The sequence below is a fragment of the Homo sapiens genome, chromosome 4 (assembly GCF_000001405.40).
Source record: "Homo sapiens chromosome 4, GRCh38.p14 Primary Assembly".
NCBI lineage: Eukaryota > Metazoa > Chordata > Mammalia > Primates > Hominidae > Homo > Homo sapiens.
This window is the reverse complement of record NC_000004.12, coordinates 82817889-82837585: the sequence shown is the minus strand read 5'-3', so window position 1 is coordinate 82837585 and position 19697 is coordinate 82817889. Positions and strand designations below refer to the sequence as shown.

The 19697-nt window shown below is 38.4% G+C and overlaps 1 protein-coding gene across 57 annotated transcripts in view; it reads left to right on the top strand.

Annotated features, from left to right (window-relative positions):
• SEC31A (SEC31 homolog A, COPII component) overlaps positions 1–19077 on the top strand; it is an 82061-nt gene extending 62984 nt beyond the window's left edge. For 33 of the 57 annotated variants that reach the window (NM_001400214.1, NM_001400223.1, NM_001400213.1 and 30 more), the window contains 5 exons: positions 8528–8586; positions 9954–10217; positions 12912–13031; positions 16478–16549; positions 18333–18925. In NM_001400214.1, coding sequence (NP_001387143.1) covers positions 8528–8586; positions 9954–10217; positions 12912–13031; positions 16478–16549; positions 18333–18512 — 695 coding nt within the window. In that variant the 3' untranslated portion in view covers positions 18513–18925. 57 annotated transcript variants of the gene reach the window in all.

Here is a 19697-nt window from a genome sequence, read left to right as displayed (position 1 = left end):
TGGCAAGAGCCCATGTCTATAAAAAATACAAAAAACTAGCCAGGTGTGGAAGCACATGCCTATATTCCCAGCTACTTGGGAGGCTGAGATGGGAGAATTGCTTGAACCCGGGAGACAGAGGTTGTGAGCTGTGATCGCACCTAGGCGGCAGTGAGACCCTGTCTCAAAACAACAAAAAAAACTTCCTTGCTTTTTATTAATTTTTCACTGTAGGAAGTTTTTAAAAGACTCAAAGTCATATAAAAAATAAAATAAAAATTACCTATAATTCTACTGCCCAAATATAACTACTATTAATTTAGGTTTATTTATTCCCTTCATACAGACATACACATACATACATGCATACATAAAAACTTGCATTAAAGTTTTTATTGTGGTGAAATTATATATATATATATATATATATATATATATATATATATATGATAAAATTTATTTTAACCATGTTTGAAGGTACAGCTCTGTGGCATTAAGTACATTTATATTGTTTTGCAACCAGCAGAACTTTTAAAAAATTTTTGGGGTACATAGTGGGTGTATATGTTTTTGAGGTACATGAGATATTTTGATACAGGTATACAATGCATAATGATCACATCAGGGTAAATGGTATTGGAGTATCCATCACCTCAAGCGTTTGTCATTCTTTGTGTTGTAAACAGTCCATATACTAAAAGTAACTAAAGGAGTACTTTTAGTTACTTTTAAATGTACAATAATTATTGTTGACTGTAGTCACCCTGTTGTGATGTCAACTAGATCTTATTCAGTTCTATCTAACTATATTTTTGTACCCATTAGCCATCCCTGCAGAATTTTTTCATCATCTCATACTGAAACACTGTACCCATTAAATAATAGCTTCTGTTCCCCACAGCTTCTGGTAACTACTGTTCTACTTTCTGTCTCTATGTATTTGACTATTCTAGGTACCTTATATAAGTAGAATCATGCAACATTTGTCCTTTTGTGTTTGGCTTTTTTGACTGGCATAATGTCTTCCAGGTTCATCTATGTTGTAGCATGTATCAGAATTTTTTTTAAGGCTGAGTAATACTCCATTGTATGTATATACCACATTTGTTATTTGTTATTCATCTGCCGATAGACACTTTGTCTATTGTGAATAATGCTGCTGTGAACAGGGATGTGCAAATATCTGTTTGAGTCCTTGCTGTTAATTCTTTTTCTTTTTTTTTTTTTTTTTTTTGAGATGGAGTCTCACTCTGTTGCCCAGGCTGGAGTGCAGTGGGGCGATCTCGGCTCACTGCAACCTCCGCCTCCTGGGTTCAAGCAATTCTCCTGCCTCACCCTCCCAAGTAGCTGGGACTACAGGCATGTGCCACCACGCTCAGCTAATTTTTGTATTTTTAGTAGAGATGGGGTTTCGCCATATTGGCCAGGCTGGTCTCGAACTCCTGACCTTGTGATCCACCCACCTTGGCCTCCCAAAGTGCTGGGATTACAGGCATGAGCCACCGCGCCCGGCCAATTTTTTAGTGTATATACCTAGAGGTGGAATTGCTGGATCAAACAGTAATTCCACATTTAGTTTTTTGAGGAACCACCACACTGTTTTTCACAGCAGCTGCACCATTTTACGTTCCCGCCAGGAATGCACGAGTGTTTCAGTTTCTCCACATCCATGCCAATACTTGTGTTTTCTGTTTTTCAATAGCCATCCTAATGGGTTTGAAGTAGTAATTCATTGTGTGCATGCATTTTTAAAGAATTAGGATCATAACACAAACACACACATACACATAATTTTACATCTTACTTTTTCCTTTTTTTTTGTTCCACTCCGTCACTCAGGCTGGAGTGCAGTGGCTCAATCTCGACTCACTGCAACCTCTGTCTCCTAGGTTCAAGCAATTCTCATGCCTCAGCATCCCAAGTAGCTGGAACTACATGTGTGTGCCACCACGTCCAGCTAATTTTTGCGTTTTAGTGGAGACGGGGTTTCACCATGTTGGTCAGGCTAGTCTCGAACTCCTGACCTCAGGTGATCCATCCACCTCAGCCTCCCAAATACTGGGATTACAGGCGTAAGCCACCACGCCTGACCTTACTTTTTTCTTAATATTACACCATGAACCATTTTTCCATGCCCTTAAAGTCATGTCATGTTTTAAAAAGAGTAAAAGATTCATCCCCACTTTATAGTTTTTTGAAAGAGTTAAAAAAGGATAGGGGAGGATTATTTCCTCTTCAGTTTTCTGAAACATTTCTGTTCAAGGTTAAAATGTACTGTGTTGATATTTTTTTTAAGCGTTGACCAAGAGTATCATTTTTCACATCCGTAATGAATCTCCATAGTACTGTCTTCTGTAGATATTCATGTTCTTCATGTAGCTTGTTTTATGTCCTGTCGCTATTAAAGGATGTCTCTATAAAGTAGAGATCAGTTGAACTGTTTGTAAAAAGTCATGTTTAGGCCAGGAGTTGTGGCTCATACCTGTAATCCCAGCACTTTGGGAGGTCAAAGTGGGTGCATCGCTTGAAGTTAGGAGTTCGAGACCAGCCTGGCCAACATGATGAAACCCCCATCTCTACTAAATATACAAAACTTAGCCAGGCATGGTGGCGAGCACCTGTAATTCCAGCTACTCAGGAGGCTAAGGCAGGAGAATTGCTTGAACCCAGGAGGCAGAGGTTGCAGTGAGCCGGGATTGTGCCATTGCACTCCAGCCTGGGTGACAGAGCGAGACTCCCTCTCAAAAATAAATAAATAAATAAAATCCTTGAGTAGGAGAAGTTTTTTTTAAAAAAGTCACTAAATCTAAATCTATAAAAGCAAAAAGGATTGAAAGGGGTTAGAATTATAATTGAGACAAAATTGTACATTAAATTAATAAAAGGACTGTTGGGGTTCTGCTAAAACACATGGCTTGATATATTGCATGGTTTGAGGTTAGGAGGAGTTAGGCATATGTTTTGGGAGAGGGGTACTTAATTATAAAATATTGCCTTCTATTCAGCAGACCTTCCCCACCCTCCTTTAACTTATTCAGGCTAGCCAACGGACCTTCCTCCTGAGAGGCTTGTTGGTTCTGATTCTATTCAGTTTTACCCCTAATTTAGAATTTGATTTTATTATGATTTGGTGTCATTTTACCAAGGGGACATAAGAAAATAGTTCCATAGACTTTTTTGTGCTGCTAATAGTTGGTGAAGTCTGGATACCCTCCCAGGCTTTAACACCCACAGCTTAAAAGCCGTCCTCATCTTCTGCACTTTCTTCTCATGAGGAAGGGGAAGAGGACATGTTGTTTTGACCTGACTAAAGGGTCAAGCCCACTGTGTTTCCAGTACTTTCAGGTTTGTATTATATTACCTCTCTCAGCCAGAAGCTGAAGCCTGGTGCTAGAGAGTGCATTAGTAGTTGGGAATCAGGTCAGTCCTCTATTGGAATGCACACACAGTGACTCACCGGGCATTTATAAACTATAGTGTTATGAAGTCATATCTCACATGGAGAGCTAGGTTGTAAAGTCATCATGTAAGATAAAAATAGAAAATCACTTACAGTCAATTATCCTTGATCCTTTTTACAGGTAAACCCCAGATGAAAAAGTTGGCTTGCATTTATATCTTGTATGAAAAACATCTGTCAGTAAACATTAGAATTGCACTCTACACAATGAGATTTCAAACTGTGGGATTACCTCTCCCCCCTCACAGTTTCCCTGGGACATGTGCTTCTTGAGTAGAGTCCAAACTAAATTGAACTCACTGTATTTTTTCTATTCTTTTACTGCCTATTTAATTGCAGAATGAAATAACAATTTTAATTTCTCCTTTCCTCCCTCCCTCATCAATTAATGATAGCTGAATCCACATGAGTTATATGTCTGACATACTGACATTCCATACCCTTGATTTGAGGCTAGGCCTGTCCTGACCCTAAGTATTTGACAATTGGGATTGCTATGTTTTCAGCCTGTTTTTCTCTTGTCCACTGCTATAAACTTTGGTTTCCTATAAGAAGTAGTGATTTCTGGGTGACTTGTGCTCAGTCTGCAAATCTGTATTTTTTTTTTTTTTTTTATAATTTAACTTTTGGGTTACATGCAGTTTTGTTACATGGGTATACATGTGCCATGGTGGTTTGCTGCACCCATCAACCCGTCACCTACATTAGGTATTTATCCTAATGTTATCCCTCCCCTAGCCCCCCACAGGCCCCAGTGTGTGATGTTCCCCTCCCTGTGTCCATGTGTTCTCATTCTTCAATTCCCATTTATGAGTGAGAACATGTGGTGTTTGGTTTTCTGATCTTGTGATAGTTTGCTGAGAATGACGGTTTCCAGCTTCATCCATGTCCCTGCAAAGTACATGAACTCATCCTTTTTTATGGCTGCATAGTATTCCATGGTGTATATGTGCCACATTTTCTTAATCCAGTCTATCATTGATGGACATTTGGGTTGGTTCCAAGTCTTTGCTATTGTGAATAGTGCCAAAGTAAACACACGTGTGCATGTGTCTTTATCGTAGAATGATTTATAATCTTTTGGATATATGCCCAGTAATGGGATGGCTGGGTCAAATGGTATTCCTAGTTCTAGATCCTTGAGGAATCGCCACACTGTCTTCCACAATGGTTGAACTAATTTACACTCCCACCAACAGTGTAAAAGCGTTCCTATTTTTCCACACCCTCTCCAGCATCTGTTGTTTCCTGACTTTTTAATGATCGCCATTGTAACTGGCGTGAGATAGTATCTCACTGTGGTTTTGATTTGCATTTCTCCAATGACCAGTGATGATGAGCATTTTTTCATATGTCTGCTGGCTGTATAAATGTCTTCTTTTGAGAAGTGTCTGTTCATATCATTTGCCCATTTTTTGATGGGGTTGTTTGCTTTTTTCTTGTAAATATGTTTAAGTTCTTTGTAGATTCTGGATATTAGTCCTTTGTCAGATGGATAGATTGCAAAAATTTTCTCCCATTCTGTAGGTTGCCTTTTCACTCTGATGATAGTTTCTTTTGCTGTGCAGAAGCTCTTTAATTAGATCCCATTTGTCAATTTTGGCTTTTGTTGCCATTGCTTTTGCTGTTTTAGACATGAAGTCTTTGCCTATGTCTATGTCCTGAGTGGTATTGCCCAGGTTTTCTTCTAGGATTTTTATGGTCCTAGGTCTTACATTTAAGTCTTTGATCCACCTTGAGTTGATCTTTATATAGGGTGTAAGGAAGGGGTCCAGTTTCAGTTTTCTGCATATGGCTAGCCAGTTTTCCCCAACACCATTTATTAAATAGGGAATCTTTTCCCCATTGCTTGTGTGTGTCAGGTTTGTCAAATATCAGATGCTGGTAGATGTGTGGTGGTATTTCTGAGGCCTCCGTTCTGTTCCATTGGTCTGTATATCTGTTTTGGTACCAGTACCTTGCTGTTTTGGTTACTGTAGCCTTGTAGTAATGTTTGAAATCAAGTAGCATGATGCCTCCAGCTTTGTTCTTCTTGCCCAGGATTGTCTTGGCTATGTGGGCTCTTTTTTGGTTCCATATGAAGTTTGAAGTAGTTTTTTCCAATTCTATAAGAAAGTCAGTGGTAGCTTGATGGGGATAGCATTGAATCTATAAATTACTTTGGGCAGTAAGGCCATTTTCACGATACTGATTCTTCCTATCCATGAGCATGGAATGTTTTTCCATTTGTGTCCTCTCTTAATTTCTTGAGCAGTGGTTTGTAGTTTCTCCTTGAAGAGGTTCTTCACATCCCTTGTAAGTTGTATTCCTAGGTATTTTATTCTCTTAGTAGCAATTGTGAATGGGAGTTCACTCATAAATCTGTATATTCTTACAGAAAAGACCATATGAGGTGGTTACATTATTTGCTGGGCCTATTCTCATTTATATGCACAGTATGACCCCAGAAATTACAGTTTCTGCAGGGTACAGACCACTGGGGCCTCCTAAATCCAGCAGTGAAAAATGATACCACTGTGCTAAGATAGGCACGTTTATCCTTATCAAATGCAGGTTGAAGTCTGTAGGACATGTAGAAATCACCCCATTTCTCCAGTTCCCTGCTACTTCAAGAGGGTGTTGGACCAGCAGCATTCGTATCATCTGGGAGATGGCTGCAAAGACAGTATCTAAGGTTCTATCACTATACCTAATGAATAAGAATCTGCGGTTTAACAAGATCCATAGCTGATTTGGATTCACAGCTTTGAACAATACCAAAATAGACACATTAGGTGAATATGCTAGGAAGTGCTGTCCCCTCAGTGATATTTCTGAGCTTCATTAGTTAAATAGTAGAAAAACAATCCATGCAAACAATTAGGGAAACATTGTTATTTTAAATATGAAGGGATAAAATTTTCTCTTAAAAAAGAACAGTAAGAAAAAAGTGATGTTTAAGAGTTAATTGGATCTAACAACTTAAATAAATTCCCTCTGTCAAAAAACCAGTTACTTTCTTAATTAGAAGACATTTCACATGACTTGATTAAAAAGTGAGTTTTGTTCTCTTATTAAATTAATTTACACTTTCTGGGGATTAATGAAGGGAGAAGAAACAATTATAAAATGAGTAAAGTTTAGAATGTCTTCAGTAAACACTGTTAAGTAATTTTTACATTTTGTCTACAGAAAACCAGTCTATCCAAGACCAGGCACCTATGTTGGAAGGTGAATTGGTTGTAAAATATACCTTTGGAAATCTTTGAATAATTGAATACAATTAATGAATGGACATTAACAATAATGCATGTGAACTTCAAAGATGATGATATCCCAAATCTGATCAGGATCATTTTTTTTATTTGGCTTCTTAATTGAATCAGATTTTACAACTGATTGAATTTACGTGATTACACAAGTAGCTTGGTTATAAAGGCTGTCTGTTTTATATAGACATAAAGAAAACAACTATGCCAAGACTGTCTTGAGCTACGGGTAAGACTAGAAAGTGATTGCAGAGATTTGAATGATTAATCTATGTAGAACCAGAAGTTTAAGAATTTGTTAATCAGAAAGCAGCATATGAGTTAATATTTTGTGGTTAACTCTTGACTGTTTTGAGCCATATCTGATTTTCTGTCTCCTAGTAAACTTTTAAGAAATGAATTCTGTTTTTATTTTTTTATTTTTATTTTTTACTTTTTTGAGACGGAGTCTCGTTCTGTCACCCAGGCTGAAGTACAGTGACACAATCTTGGTTCACTGCAACCTCCACCTCCCAGGTTCAAGCAATTCTCCTGCCTCAGCTCCTGGGTAGCTGAGACTACAGGCATGCACCACCACAAGCAGCTAATTTTTGTATTTTTAGTAGAGATGGGGTTTCCCCATGTTGGCCAGGCTGGTCTCGAACTCCTGACCTCAAGTGATCCACCCGCCTCAGCCCAAAGTGCTGGAATTACAGGCATGAGCCACTGCGCCTCGCCTGAATTCTGTTTTAAAATCAAGACAAGTAAGCGCTGGTGGTTAGTTGAAGATCTGTATTTTTTAAAGTTTCTGTGACTTTGGTTTGACAGTTTTCTTGTGACTTAATATGTATATCAGTTAAACAAGTACAAGTTAAAATATTGAAAGAACGTTTATTGGAAAGGGAATAATTTTTTTGTCTTTACATATATACATACACAAAAGTTTCTTTAGCAAGTATCTGCTTCCTTATAGAGAATATCAAAACTCACACTTAGTGAAATGTGAAAGAATTAATTGTGATTTAGAAATTATTCTTATTTCCAGCATGTTGTATTCCTTTCCTCTTTAAAGATACTGGCATTAAAATACTTAATAAGTTCTGCTACTGTTGTTCATTTTTCACTTTGAAATAACAGGGCTTTTTGATTTGTTAGTGTGCATGTGTTTTTTTTTAGAGGAAATTTACTACAGTTGGTAATATTTTAATTTTATATTTGCTATCAGCCTGCAAATTTTTTTTTACGGCATTAAAAATCTTAGCACAGATATTTGAATACCCTTTTTTACTTTGCTTATAATTCCCGAGGCAAAGATGATAAAAATTACTAGTGTTACATAGTTGGAGTCTGCTTTTTTCTTAAGAATATTTCTACCATGTTTAGAATAGATGATTTGCTCATGTTGAATTGCCCTCTTGGCAAATAGGAGATTGCTAATTTTATTCTCTTTTTTTTTATATGTTGAATATATCAGAAGCCTGGTGTGTTTTTTTTTTGTTTGTTTTTGTTTTTTTAGCAGACTTTGTATTTTCATTATTAGGAGAGAATAGTAAACTGATCTTTGAAAGTCATACACCAGTATAAATAAAAACTTCACCACCCTAAATTTAGCACACTCTTTTACTTTAAATGGAAACAGTGTCAAGATATCTTACCTACCAAGTGAAGACCTTGTTCCTATTAAGAGATGTGAGTGTGAGAATCCAGGGCTACATAGTGATCCCCACACTCGGCTGGTAAAACCTTTGTGACAGTTATTTCAGGGTTAAGGCAGAATTTTGAAGTATTAGGTGATCGATTCAGTTTTATTTTTTTTCCTTTCAGGATTCTAAAGGAAAACATTCTCTGTTATCTGTTATAGGTCCTCAGAATGGTTGGAATGACCCTCCAGCTTTGAACAGAGTACCCAAAAAGAAGAAGGTACTAGAAAAAGATGTCCATCCAATGGCCTACAGATGTTATGTTAACCACGTAGCCACTTGGAACACACTATACTTCACTGATCCTTTTAAAGGCGAAGCTTACTGAGTGATGTATTTAAAGTGTATTTCAACATGCACCTTCTAATCCATGGAAGGAAGGAAAGGAAGTAGAAAACAGTATCATCAAAACCTTGTTCTGATGATGGTGATATAAATTAAAGCCCCTTTAGAAGGCAAGATATAAATTCCCAACAGGCCTCTTTCAAAAAGTAGGAAATTTCAGGCTTCAGGGTTGCTTTCTTTTTTTTTTTTTTTTTTTTTTTTGAGTTACTTTGGTCTTTGGGTTCTACTAGTAATCATGAATTTGGCAATTAAATTTTGGACTTTTTCTGTCACGTATAGTATGAATGAAATAGCCTTGTGGCTGAGCACTATACAGATCTCAGTAACTGTTAAGAGCTGTTAGAGCACAAATTAAGATGCTGCTTTTTGCCCAAGCCATTTTTACTTTTAAAAAAATTCCTAATGACCTCTTTCCCCAACTATACTAATGAGAGGCCATAATATAAAATTAGGAGGCATTAAATAAGGAAAGAAACCCAATATTTAGGTTAGTATTAATCAGAAACTGAATTTAGTACTTTTAGTGTGATAGAATTGCCAAATAATGTCTACTTAGGTATTACATTCTGATCATATTAAACACATGTGCACATACACGCCCATGCATACTTGGCACCTCTGATTCCAGTATTGCTACATACAGTTCTCCAGACCTGATACCCTCTTTCAAAAATGCTATGGTGCTTGTAATCCCAGCACTTTGGGAGACTGAGGCGGGCAGATCACAAGGTCAGGAGTTCTAGACCAGCCTGGCCAGTATGGTCAAACCCCATCTCTACTAAAAATACAAAAATTAGCTGGGCGTGGTGGCACGCGCCTGTAATCCCAGCTACTTGGGAGGCTGAGGCACGAGAATTGCTTGAACCTGGGAGGCGGAGGTTGCAGTGAGCTGAGATTGCGCTATTGCACTTCAGCCTGGGCGACAGAGCGGGACTCTATCTCAAAAAAAAAAAAAAGCCATGGTTTTAGCTCCGCTTTATTGGGGATAAGTATGGGAGGGTAAAGGGAGACAAAGAAGTCCAGGTTTGAGCTCCCTATCCCTCTTAGCCAAATCAGCTCTGTTTTTATGTTTTACTTTGTTTACTTTATTCTGCATAAAATTTCATTTGAAAAAAGTATTCTACTACTATTAAAAAATTTGTTTAGCCGTGGTATAACCTAACTCCCTTATTTTAAGCTGAAGAAATGTTGCTATCGTTTTTATTCTTACTCCTGGTGTCTTTTATTTCCATCTTTTAACAGATGCCTGAAAACTTCATGCCTCCTGTTCCCATCACATCACCAATCATGAACCCGTTGGGTGACCCCCAGTCACAAATGCTGCAGCAACAGCCTTCAGCTCCAGTACCACTGTCAAGCCAGTCTTCATTCCCACAGCCACATCTTCCAGGTGGCCAGCCCTTCCATGGCGTACAGCAACCTCTTGGTCAAACAGGCATGCCACCATCTTTTTCAAAGCCCAATATTGAAGGTGCCCCAGGGGCTCCTATTGGAAATACCTTCCAGGTAACAGTAAATTTGTAGAAGTGGAATGGGAAGATGGCTGTGTTTCAGTATATTTTCTTTAATGTGCTAACTTTTATGATTGCATGATTATTATTAAACATCTAGACAACCTAAACAAAAAATAGTAACTTTTTTTTAAGATCGATCATGTATGTATATTATTTTTCAATTACATGGCCACATACAAACTTCTCTAGAAGAAGGTTATACATTTGAGAGCGTTTGTTTACTATAACTTGGCTTAGTCAGTAGCTACAATTTAAAATCAGATAAATCATCTCTGCGTGAGGTTGCTAAGCAAAAGCTGTTTCCAAAGATTTTTCTCCTTAAAATAGAAAAGAAAAATATAGTGAGTTATATATTTTTATGTGTATGTATAAAAGCTAATAATACAGCCTTATCATCAGATAGAGATAAACATTTTTTACTTGCTTTTCACACACAAACAGCCAGTTGGCAAAGTCCTGCATATTGAAAAATCTAACACATTTCTACATAATACACTTAGACATACAGAGTTAAGTATTTTGATCTATTCATGAGAAATAAAGAGCTTAGATCAAAGTTCAATATAAGAAGATGAAACAAGCTCCTGCCCAAGTAAAAAAACTAGTTCTACTGTCTGTTTCTGTCTTTGATTCATTGAAGTCAAATTTGTAAAGACTGTATCTCTTGTCACAAGATTATACTTTACTGTTAAGAGATAATATGCCTGAAGCCGGGTGCAGTGGCTCACGCCTCTTATCCCAATGCTTTGGGAAGCCGAGGCGGGTGGATCACCTGAGGTCAGGAGTTGGAGACCAGCCTGGCCAGCATGGTGAAACCCTGTCTCTACTAAAAATACAAAAATTAGCTGGGCGTGGTGGCGGCGCCTGTAGTCCCAGCTACTCGGGAGGCTGAGGCAGGAGAATTGCTTGAACTCAGCAGGCAGAGGTTGCAGTGAGCTGAGATTGCGCCACTGCACTCCAGCCTGGACGACAGAGCGAGACTCCGTCTCAACAACAACAACAAAAAGAGATAATATGCCTAAGGAATTTTTAAACATTAAGAGTTGCATTATAAAAACATTTTGACAAAGATGAGAAGAAATGGTTCTTTCTGAAAAAATAAAAATTAATTATAGAGTTGTATTTAAAAAAAAATAAAAAAGATTATAAGCCTGTGTTATTTTGGGAAGCTAATCAGCCACTTATCTTTGTTTAGACTTGGGTTCTCATGCTGTACTCACCTAGACCTGAACCTTAGTTACCATCAAAAGAGAAAGATACATAGTGTTCAGCCAGGCTGTATACCCAGCTGCCTGCCTACTTGGATGTCTTGGAGGTACTTCAACCTCAGCATGTCCAAAACCTAATTCATACTCTTCCTCCCAAACTTAGTCATCTTTCCTTGTTTCCTGTTATCAGTGAGTGGCACCATAATCTTTTCTGTGGAATCCAGGCAAAAACCTGGGGATCATCTTTATGCACTTTTCCCTTTAACCTCTCTTTTAAATCTCCCCAAGTCTCGTCGATATTACTCCAAAATATTTTTTGAATCCTTTCTTCTCCACATTTCTACTGTAGTCCAAGCTACCTTCATCTCTAATCTTCATCAGTGCAGGAACCTCCTAATTGGTCTGCCGATATCTACTTTGATCCATCTCTAATTTGGCCTTTTTTCCTCTTTGCCTAAAACATTACAGCTTCCCATTGTTCTCAGTATAAGGACCAAAATAGTCAACATTGTCTGGGAGGCCTCAGTTCATACTCCTTGTTCTCTCTGCTCCAGCTATACTGGCCTTTTAGCTCCCTTTTACCGTGATCCTTCCTTTCTACATGTTATTCCTTTCGTCTGGAATGCTCTTTTTTCCTCACTTAACTGTTCAACTCCATTTTGTCCTTCCAGTAAAATTTCCTGAGAGAGCCTTCCCTTCCCTTCAGTCAAATCTCAGTTATAGCATCTTTTGTTTCCACTACGTGTTAACGTACTGCAGTTGCTATTTTATGTACATTGGTGATGTTTTTAAACTGTGCCTCTTCCATTAACCTGTAAACTCCCTGAGAACTGAGATCATTTCTGTATTGGCTCACCAGTAGTACGTAGCCAGTTCCTGGTAAATAGTTGCCTAATATTTTTTGAATGAGTGAAAGAATGAACTAATAAAACTTAACTTAAACATTTCTTCTTTGTTCTTTCATCTGTATACTCAGCAGCATCGGGATGTCTTCTCTCTTAATCTTTGGCTTAATCTTGCAGTTTTGATCACAGCCCAGTTAACAACCTCTAAGAGTAAAACAAAGAATAGAAGAATGCCAGCATACACGTAAATGAGCCAATAGGCAGAGCAAGCAGCCATTCTAACCAGCCGAGTGTGTTTTCCAGTGCCTTGTTTTTATTCTCTGCTGGCACATACTTATTTCCCATCAGTTATAAACAATATTGACCAACATATGTTACCTAAATTAATCAACTACTTTGTATCCAGTCCTGCATATGAAAATCCAAACTGTAGGAAGAGCGCCTACACTTTGTACTAGATATCTGGTTTTTATTTTTACTTATCGTAAGTGATTTCACACATTAAATTTTAATTTGATTTTGAATAGGTCTATGTACAAGGTTGTCGGTTTCTGTTTATCACATAGATTCAAGATTGTGTATATAAGGTAGCTTCTGGTCATTTCTGATCAGTTTTTGGTGTGTTTCTTCCAGCATGTGCAGTCTTTGCCAACAAAAAAAATTACCAAGAAACCTATTCCAGATGAGCACCTCATTCTAAAGACCACATTTGAGGATCTTATTCAGCGCTGCCTTTCTTCAGCAACAGACCCTGTATGTATTTATTTTTTTAAATCATATTTTGCTTAATTAGAAGAATCCTTGGCCAGGTGTGGTGGCTTATGCGTGTAATCCCAGCACTTTGGGAGGCCGAGGTAGGTGGATCATTTGAAGCCAGGAGTTCAAGACCATCCTGGCCAACATAGCAAAACCCCGTCTCTACTACAAATACAAAAAATTAGCTGTGTGTGGTGGAATACACCTGTAGTCCCAGCTACTCGAGAGGCTAAGGCAGGAGAATTGCTTGAACCCAGAAGGCAGAGGTTGCAATGAGCCGAGATCGCGCCATTGCACTCCAGCCTGGGTGACAGAGACTCCGTCTCAAAATAAATAAAATATAATAAAATAAAAGAATTCTTTATGGAGTTCTTCTATAATTATTGTTTGAAGTCCTACAAGGTATATTTCTAAAAATTTGTACAAAAGTAATAAAGCTAGCACTTACATAGTTTGCATTACATATAGAAATATATTTAATTGCTTTTTATATATAAATGTACTTAATCTTCACAATAACCTATGGCAGATAGATTTGTCATTTTTATTTTACAGACAAGAAAAGTAAGGCAGAGAGCAGTTAAGTAACACTTAAGGTCAGAGCCAGCATTCAAACCCAGACTGTCTGGCTCCAGAATTCATGCTCTCAACCACCAAGCTATACTGCCTCTCATCAACAAAACTGTATTTGGCACATAAATGGAGCATAATGGTGCTATGCAAGAAACTCAGATTTGGGATTTCTTTCTGAGCTTATATTGAAATTGTTAAAAGTAGATAGATCATCTTCTAAAGCTTTGCAGAGATGTTAAAGATAGTTAAATGTTTTAGATATCGGAGGCATATTTACATTTAAAGCAACTGATTTTACTTAGTTTACTTAAGATACCCCTGTATTGCAACAACAAACATTCCACAAAGCCAGTCTTAAGTGAAATTTCATTTTCTGCTAGCACACATTGAATATTTTTAATCATCGGCTACTTGTCTGCATGAAAAAACATCTTCTAGATCTTATTGTTCATCAGACATTGAGTATTAATATGTGCAGCCTTCTGCTGGTCAGTGGCTTTGTGGAAAGCCATTCTCTGTACTGAAAGTATCAGGAAAGCAGTTAACATAAACCTTAGTGCCTGACATTCTGGGAGTGATGGGAAGACCAAGGTGGAAACAAGAGAGCAGACGAAGCTGATAACCAGATACATGCTAGCCCTTATGCACACTTCTAAATAGACAGGCTGTAGTCATTCAAAAATGGAAGCATCTGAATAAGAATGACAACACACCAATTCTTCAGGCGTGAGTCAGTATAGAGAGGTTGGGAAGACACGTAATACATGGCCCAACTCAATACATTTTTTGTTAATTTACCCTTCTCTCGGTCATCATACTATATTCCTCTTGGATACCGAGGAGCTCTGGGTAGTAGAGAACCATAAAAGACAAAGTGTTCCTATAATTTCTGTAATTAGTTGGGGAAGAAGTTCTAATATCCTGCCTGTCCGGCTGCCCTTGCCCCCTTGGGGTAGGGCTCCTGTTTGTAGCTAGATAAGGTTAACTTTGTTTTTCTTTTTTTTTGAGACGGAGTTTCACTCTTGTTGCCCAGGCTGGAGTGCAATGGTGCAATCTCGGCTCACTGCAACCTCCGCCTCCCAGGTTCAAGAGATTCTCCTGCCTCAGCCTCCCTAGTAGCTGGAATTACAGGCATGTGCCACCACGCCCGGCTAATTTTGTATTTTTAGAAGAGACAGGGTTTCTCCATGTTGGTCAGGCTGGTCTCGAACTCCCAACATCAGGTGATCCGCCCACCTCGGCCTCTCAAAGTGCTGGGATTACAGGCATGAGCCACCGCACCTGGCCAGGTTAACTTTGAGCAAGGATTGTAAGGTTTCCTTTCCGCAAAAGTTCATTTTAATCAGTAGTTGGAATAGTTTTTATAGCATGGATGTATCTTATTTTCACTTTATGTCTAAACAGCACAAAGTAATTTTGCCACACAACTTGGTATGTAGCATCCTTGATGGCCTGTCTCTTCTCTCTCTTCTCCAAGCACACTGGCATTCCTTCCTTGAACACACCAAGAGCATTTCAGCGTCAGGACTTTATACTTGCTGCTCCTTCTGCCTGGAACTCTTCCTCCACATATCTGCATTGTTTGTTTCCTCCCAAGTTCAAGGCCTCTGCTCACATGTCCCATTAGCCATCAGGCCTTTCTTTATTACCCCCAACTCCCAACATGTTTAGCCCCCTTCCTCTATTAACTTTTCTTCATAGCAGTTATCACCATCTGACATGCAATATATTGTTCATTTAGTATCTTTTCTCACCCAGTGGGATATGAGCTACATGACATACAAGACTTTGTCCCTGGTACAGCACATAGTAAGCAGCCAATAAATATTGAACTAACATAAGGCTGTGGTATAATGTAGAACATTAAGTTAATCATGTAATTTTAAAACTGTTAGTTTTAGTTTTAGAATAGTTTCTTTGATTATACTTTACAGTGCTATGGTAGAGAGAAAAAAAAGCTTTTTAATTTAATAATTTATTTTACTACTTCCCTCAGTAATCTTAAGCTGCCAAAAGATAGTTTTCTTTCTTTCTTGGTGCTTTAAAGGCTTAGAAAAAGGCAGGATTAAACAAATGTAACTAAGTGTTTAAGTAGTATTTTTGAAAGGTTAAAACAAGATTCCACAGTTCACCTATATGTTTGCCTTCTACCACCCATAATCGACAATAACTACTTAGACCTTCTTTTTTGTGATACACTGACCCATTGCTGCCTCCTGATGCTTGTGAATATAGTGCAAGCAAACATGCATATATACCTTATCAAGTGAGTTTGCAGTTCATATGAAATCCAATCAGTACTCTTTCATGCACTGGAAGTAAGTCTCATCCTCTCCTCATCCCAGTCCCCTCCACCCTCCACCCTTGATAGATGATTGATCTCTGTTCTAATAATCTGTTCAAGTTTCTTTTTTTTTTTTTTTTTTTTTTGAGACGGAGTCTTGCACTGTCGCCTGGGCCTGGAGTGCAGTGGCGTGATCTCGGCTCACTGCAACCTCCACCTCCTGGGTTCAAGCAATTCTCCTGCCTCAGCCTTCCGACTAGCTGGGATTACAGGCGCCTGCCACTACGCCCAGCAAATTTTTTGTATTTTTAGTAGAGACAGGGTTTCACCATGTTGACCAGGCTGGTCTCAAACTCCTGACCTCATGATTTGCCTGCCTTGGTCTCCCAAAGTGCTGGGATTACAGGCGTGAGCCACCACGCCCGGCCATAATCTGTTCAAGTTTCTTAGTTGTAGTTGCCTCCATTTCTTTATAAAATGAAGCCATTCAACATTTTAAGTATAAGGTTTAGTGCAATGAGATAGGGCAAGTTCTTAGGTTAAAAGTTAATGTTCAAATATAACATCTATTTTTTCTTTCCTGCAGCAAACCAAGAGGAAGCTAGATGATGCCAGCAAACGTTTGGAGTTTCTGTATGATAAACTTAGGGAACAGACAGTAAGTTTTGGAGGAAAAGGATTTATGATAATCATTTATTCCTAGTTGCTAGTAAAACAGTTGTCTTATCAGCACTCCCATTTAGTATGCATGGGGGCAAAATTGTCATGACATTTAGAGAATGGGCATGGCTGTGTTGAATCATAAATTCCACTCACTGGGGTTAAGGGGATACGGGTGTGTGTGTGTGTGTTTGTGTGGGTGTGTTGAGAGAGACATTTTAACCCTCTCATAACAAGAGTATAAATACAAACTGGCCTGTGTTGGCCATAAGGTAGCTGACCTTCTGCTGTTCCTTTTATATGGCCCAGTTACAAGAAATCAAAGAGTATGCAGATACTCTGTTTTCCAGGGACTAAATCTATAATCTTTATCATAGTCTAAGACTCTTGACCCTTTTCTTTTAGGATAGCCATTATACAAAAGCAAAGCCAAATGTAGCCACAAGATGAATAGGGTAATGTGCTGTAACTATGAAGATAGCCAGGAGTAAGAAGTCAGTTCACTACGTTTGTTCTCTTGTCCCCACCTCACCATTCTTTTCTAAAATTGTCTTGTTTTATTAATGAAAGCACTAGGAAAGGAGAAGAAAAAAAGAAGTGGGACTTTCTTTTTATTTTTTCCATTTCAGCATTCCTCTAACCCATTCCCCACACTCAGTTCCATCAGATGAAAATAACCATTTCTCTCATGAGAACCAAACTAAAGAAAGTTGATATAACAGTGGAAGTAGTGTGGTCCTTGGACTGATCCAAAATAAAGTCTTCTCGGTGGGCACAGTGGGATATGCCTGTAATCCCAGCTACTGAGGAGGCTGATGCGGGAGGATCACTGGAGCCCAGGAGTTTGAGACCAGCCTGGGCAACATAGCAAGACCGCATTTCCAAAAAAAAAAAAAAAAAACAGAAGATACAATTAGCGTATACATCTAGATGAGTATATATTAAAACATTTTTTAAAAATGAGATCAAAATAGGCCAGGCATGGTGGCTCACGCCTGTAATCCCAGCACTTTGGGAGGCTGAGGCGGGCAGATCACCTGAGGTCAGGAGTTTGAGACCAGCCTGGCCAACATGGCAAAACCCCGTCTCTACTAAAAATACAAAAATTAGCTGGGCATGGTGGCACACGGCTGTAGTCCTAGCTACTCAGGAGGCTGAGGCAGGAGAATCGCTTGAACCCGGGAGGCGGAGGTTGCAGTGAGTCGAGATCGCACCACTGTACTCCAGCCTGGGTGACAGAGTGAGACTCCATCTCAAAAAAAAAAAATCCAAATAAAGTCTTCTGTAAAGTATGGACACCTATGCCAAGTAATGACATAGTAAAAAACTACAGGTTTTATAGTTTTAAGAGATGACAGGATTATAAAAAGCAGGTAAGAATTAGTAAATTTGGGCCCTTCCTTTGAGATATTATGATTAAGAATCTTTAATCTCCTTTTTGTGCATAGGAGAATTTTTTAAAGGTCTGAAGCTCTCTTAAGTGGAGAGAGAAATTAGCATTTCAGTTTGGAGAGGAAATCGGGCTGCTTTTCTGTAAGAAAATACCTGGCTTATACATGTATAATTCATAAATAACTTATTTATGTAAATCATTTTGTTGTGGTTGTACTTGATAACTGTTGCTTGGTTCAAGAAACTTTCTAGAAATGCTAAATGGTTTATATATTTTTATAATGTTTGTTTCAAATTCCACTTAAATATCTGGGTTTAATGTTTATGGAGGATCTCATGGGAAGTTATCCCTTAATTTAATTCTTTCTCTTGGTTCACTTTTGTTTCAGCTTTCACCAACAATCACCAGTGGTTTACACAACATTGCAAGGAGCATTGAAACTCGAAACTACTCAGAAGGATTGACCATGCATACCCACATAGTTAGCACCAGCAACTTCAGTGAGACCTCTGCTTTCATGCCAGTTCTCAAAGTTGTTCTCACCCAGGCCAATAAGCTGGGTGTCTAAAAGGACAGCTTCTCTTCCACTCAATATTGCCATTTTTCCAAAGAAACATGTTAAAAAAAAAAATTATAAGACATGGACTAGTCCTCATTAGCATGTTTGCATAGCAACCAGTCAAGAGCATTTACACTATTTCTGCTGATATACTCACCTTAGAACTGCTCAGAACCCTGGTGCTTTATTTTTGTTTTAATCTTTTGTTGCCAGTGATGATTTTCCTATTCTGCAAATAGTGTATTTCCTGGATTACACATAGTATGGTTTCCTGAAGTATTCTGATAAATGTGTTTTTTAAAACCTCAATATACTTTTTAGAAAAGGAGCATCTGGTTATGCATAAAGCAGAGCTAAAACTAAATTTCTTTCATGTCCTCCCTACTTCCTCAGTGTCAATCAGATTAAAGTGTGTAATCCTATTTTATGTGTGTATAGTCTTTTTTGAAACAGCTGCTTAAAATTTAGTTTATTTTTTGTGTCTTAGGATTCCTGAGTAAATAACTACATCTACAAACTGCTACATGGGTTTTAGCAGATATTAATAAAAATGGGATCACTGGCTTTAACTATATAGGAAAAGACTGGACATTTTTGTTCTGTAGAATGCATTGAGCTTTTTTCTATTTGTAAATGTTTCAATATTCTGTTTGAGTTTTAAGACTAAATTGTGTCCATTTTATAGCTAGAAATTTTTTCACCTATTTTGTTTAAATTACCTATAGCTGTGCCAGGCATGGTGGCTCACGCTTGTAATCCCAGCACTTTGAGAGGCCGAAGCAGGCAGAGGTCGGGAGTTCGAGACCAGACTGGCCAACATGGAGAAACCCTGTCTCTACTAAAAGTACAGAATTAGCCGGGCGTGGTGGCGCATGCCTATAATCCCAGCTACTTGGGTGGCTGAGGCAGGAGAATTGCTTGAACCCGGGAGGCGGAGGTTGCGGTGAGCCGAGATCACGCCATTGCTGTCCAGTCTGGGCAATAAGAGCAAAACTCTTTCTCAAAAAAAAAAAAAAAAATTACCTGTAGCTTTGAGGTTTAAGTTCAGAAAGAAAGCTTTAATTTCAGTCAGCCTGTAAATCAAAGCCACACATTTTGCACCCAGTTTTTCTGTCAAGTGACTTTATTATCATCTGTCTTAAGAACAGTGTGGTAAGGCCGGGCGCGGTGGCTCACGCCTGTAATCCCAGCACT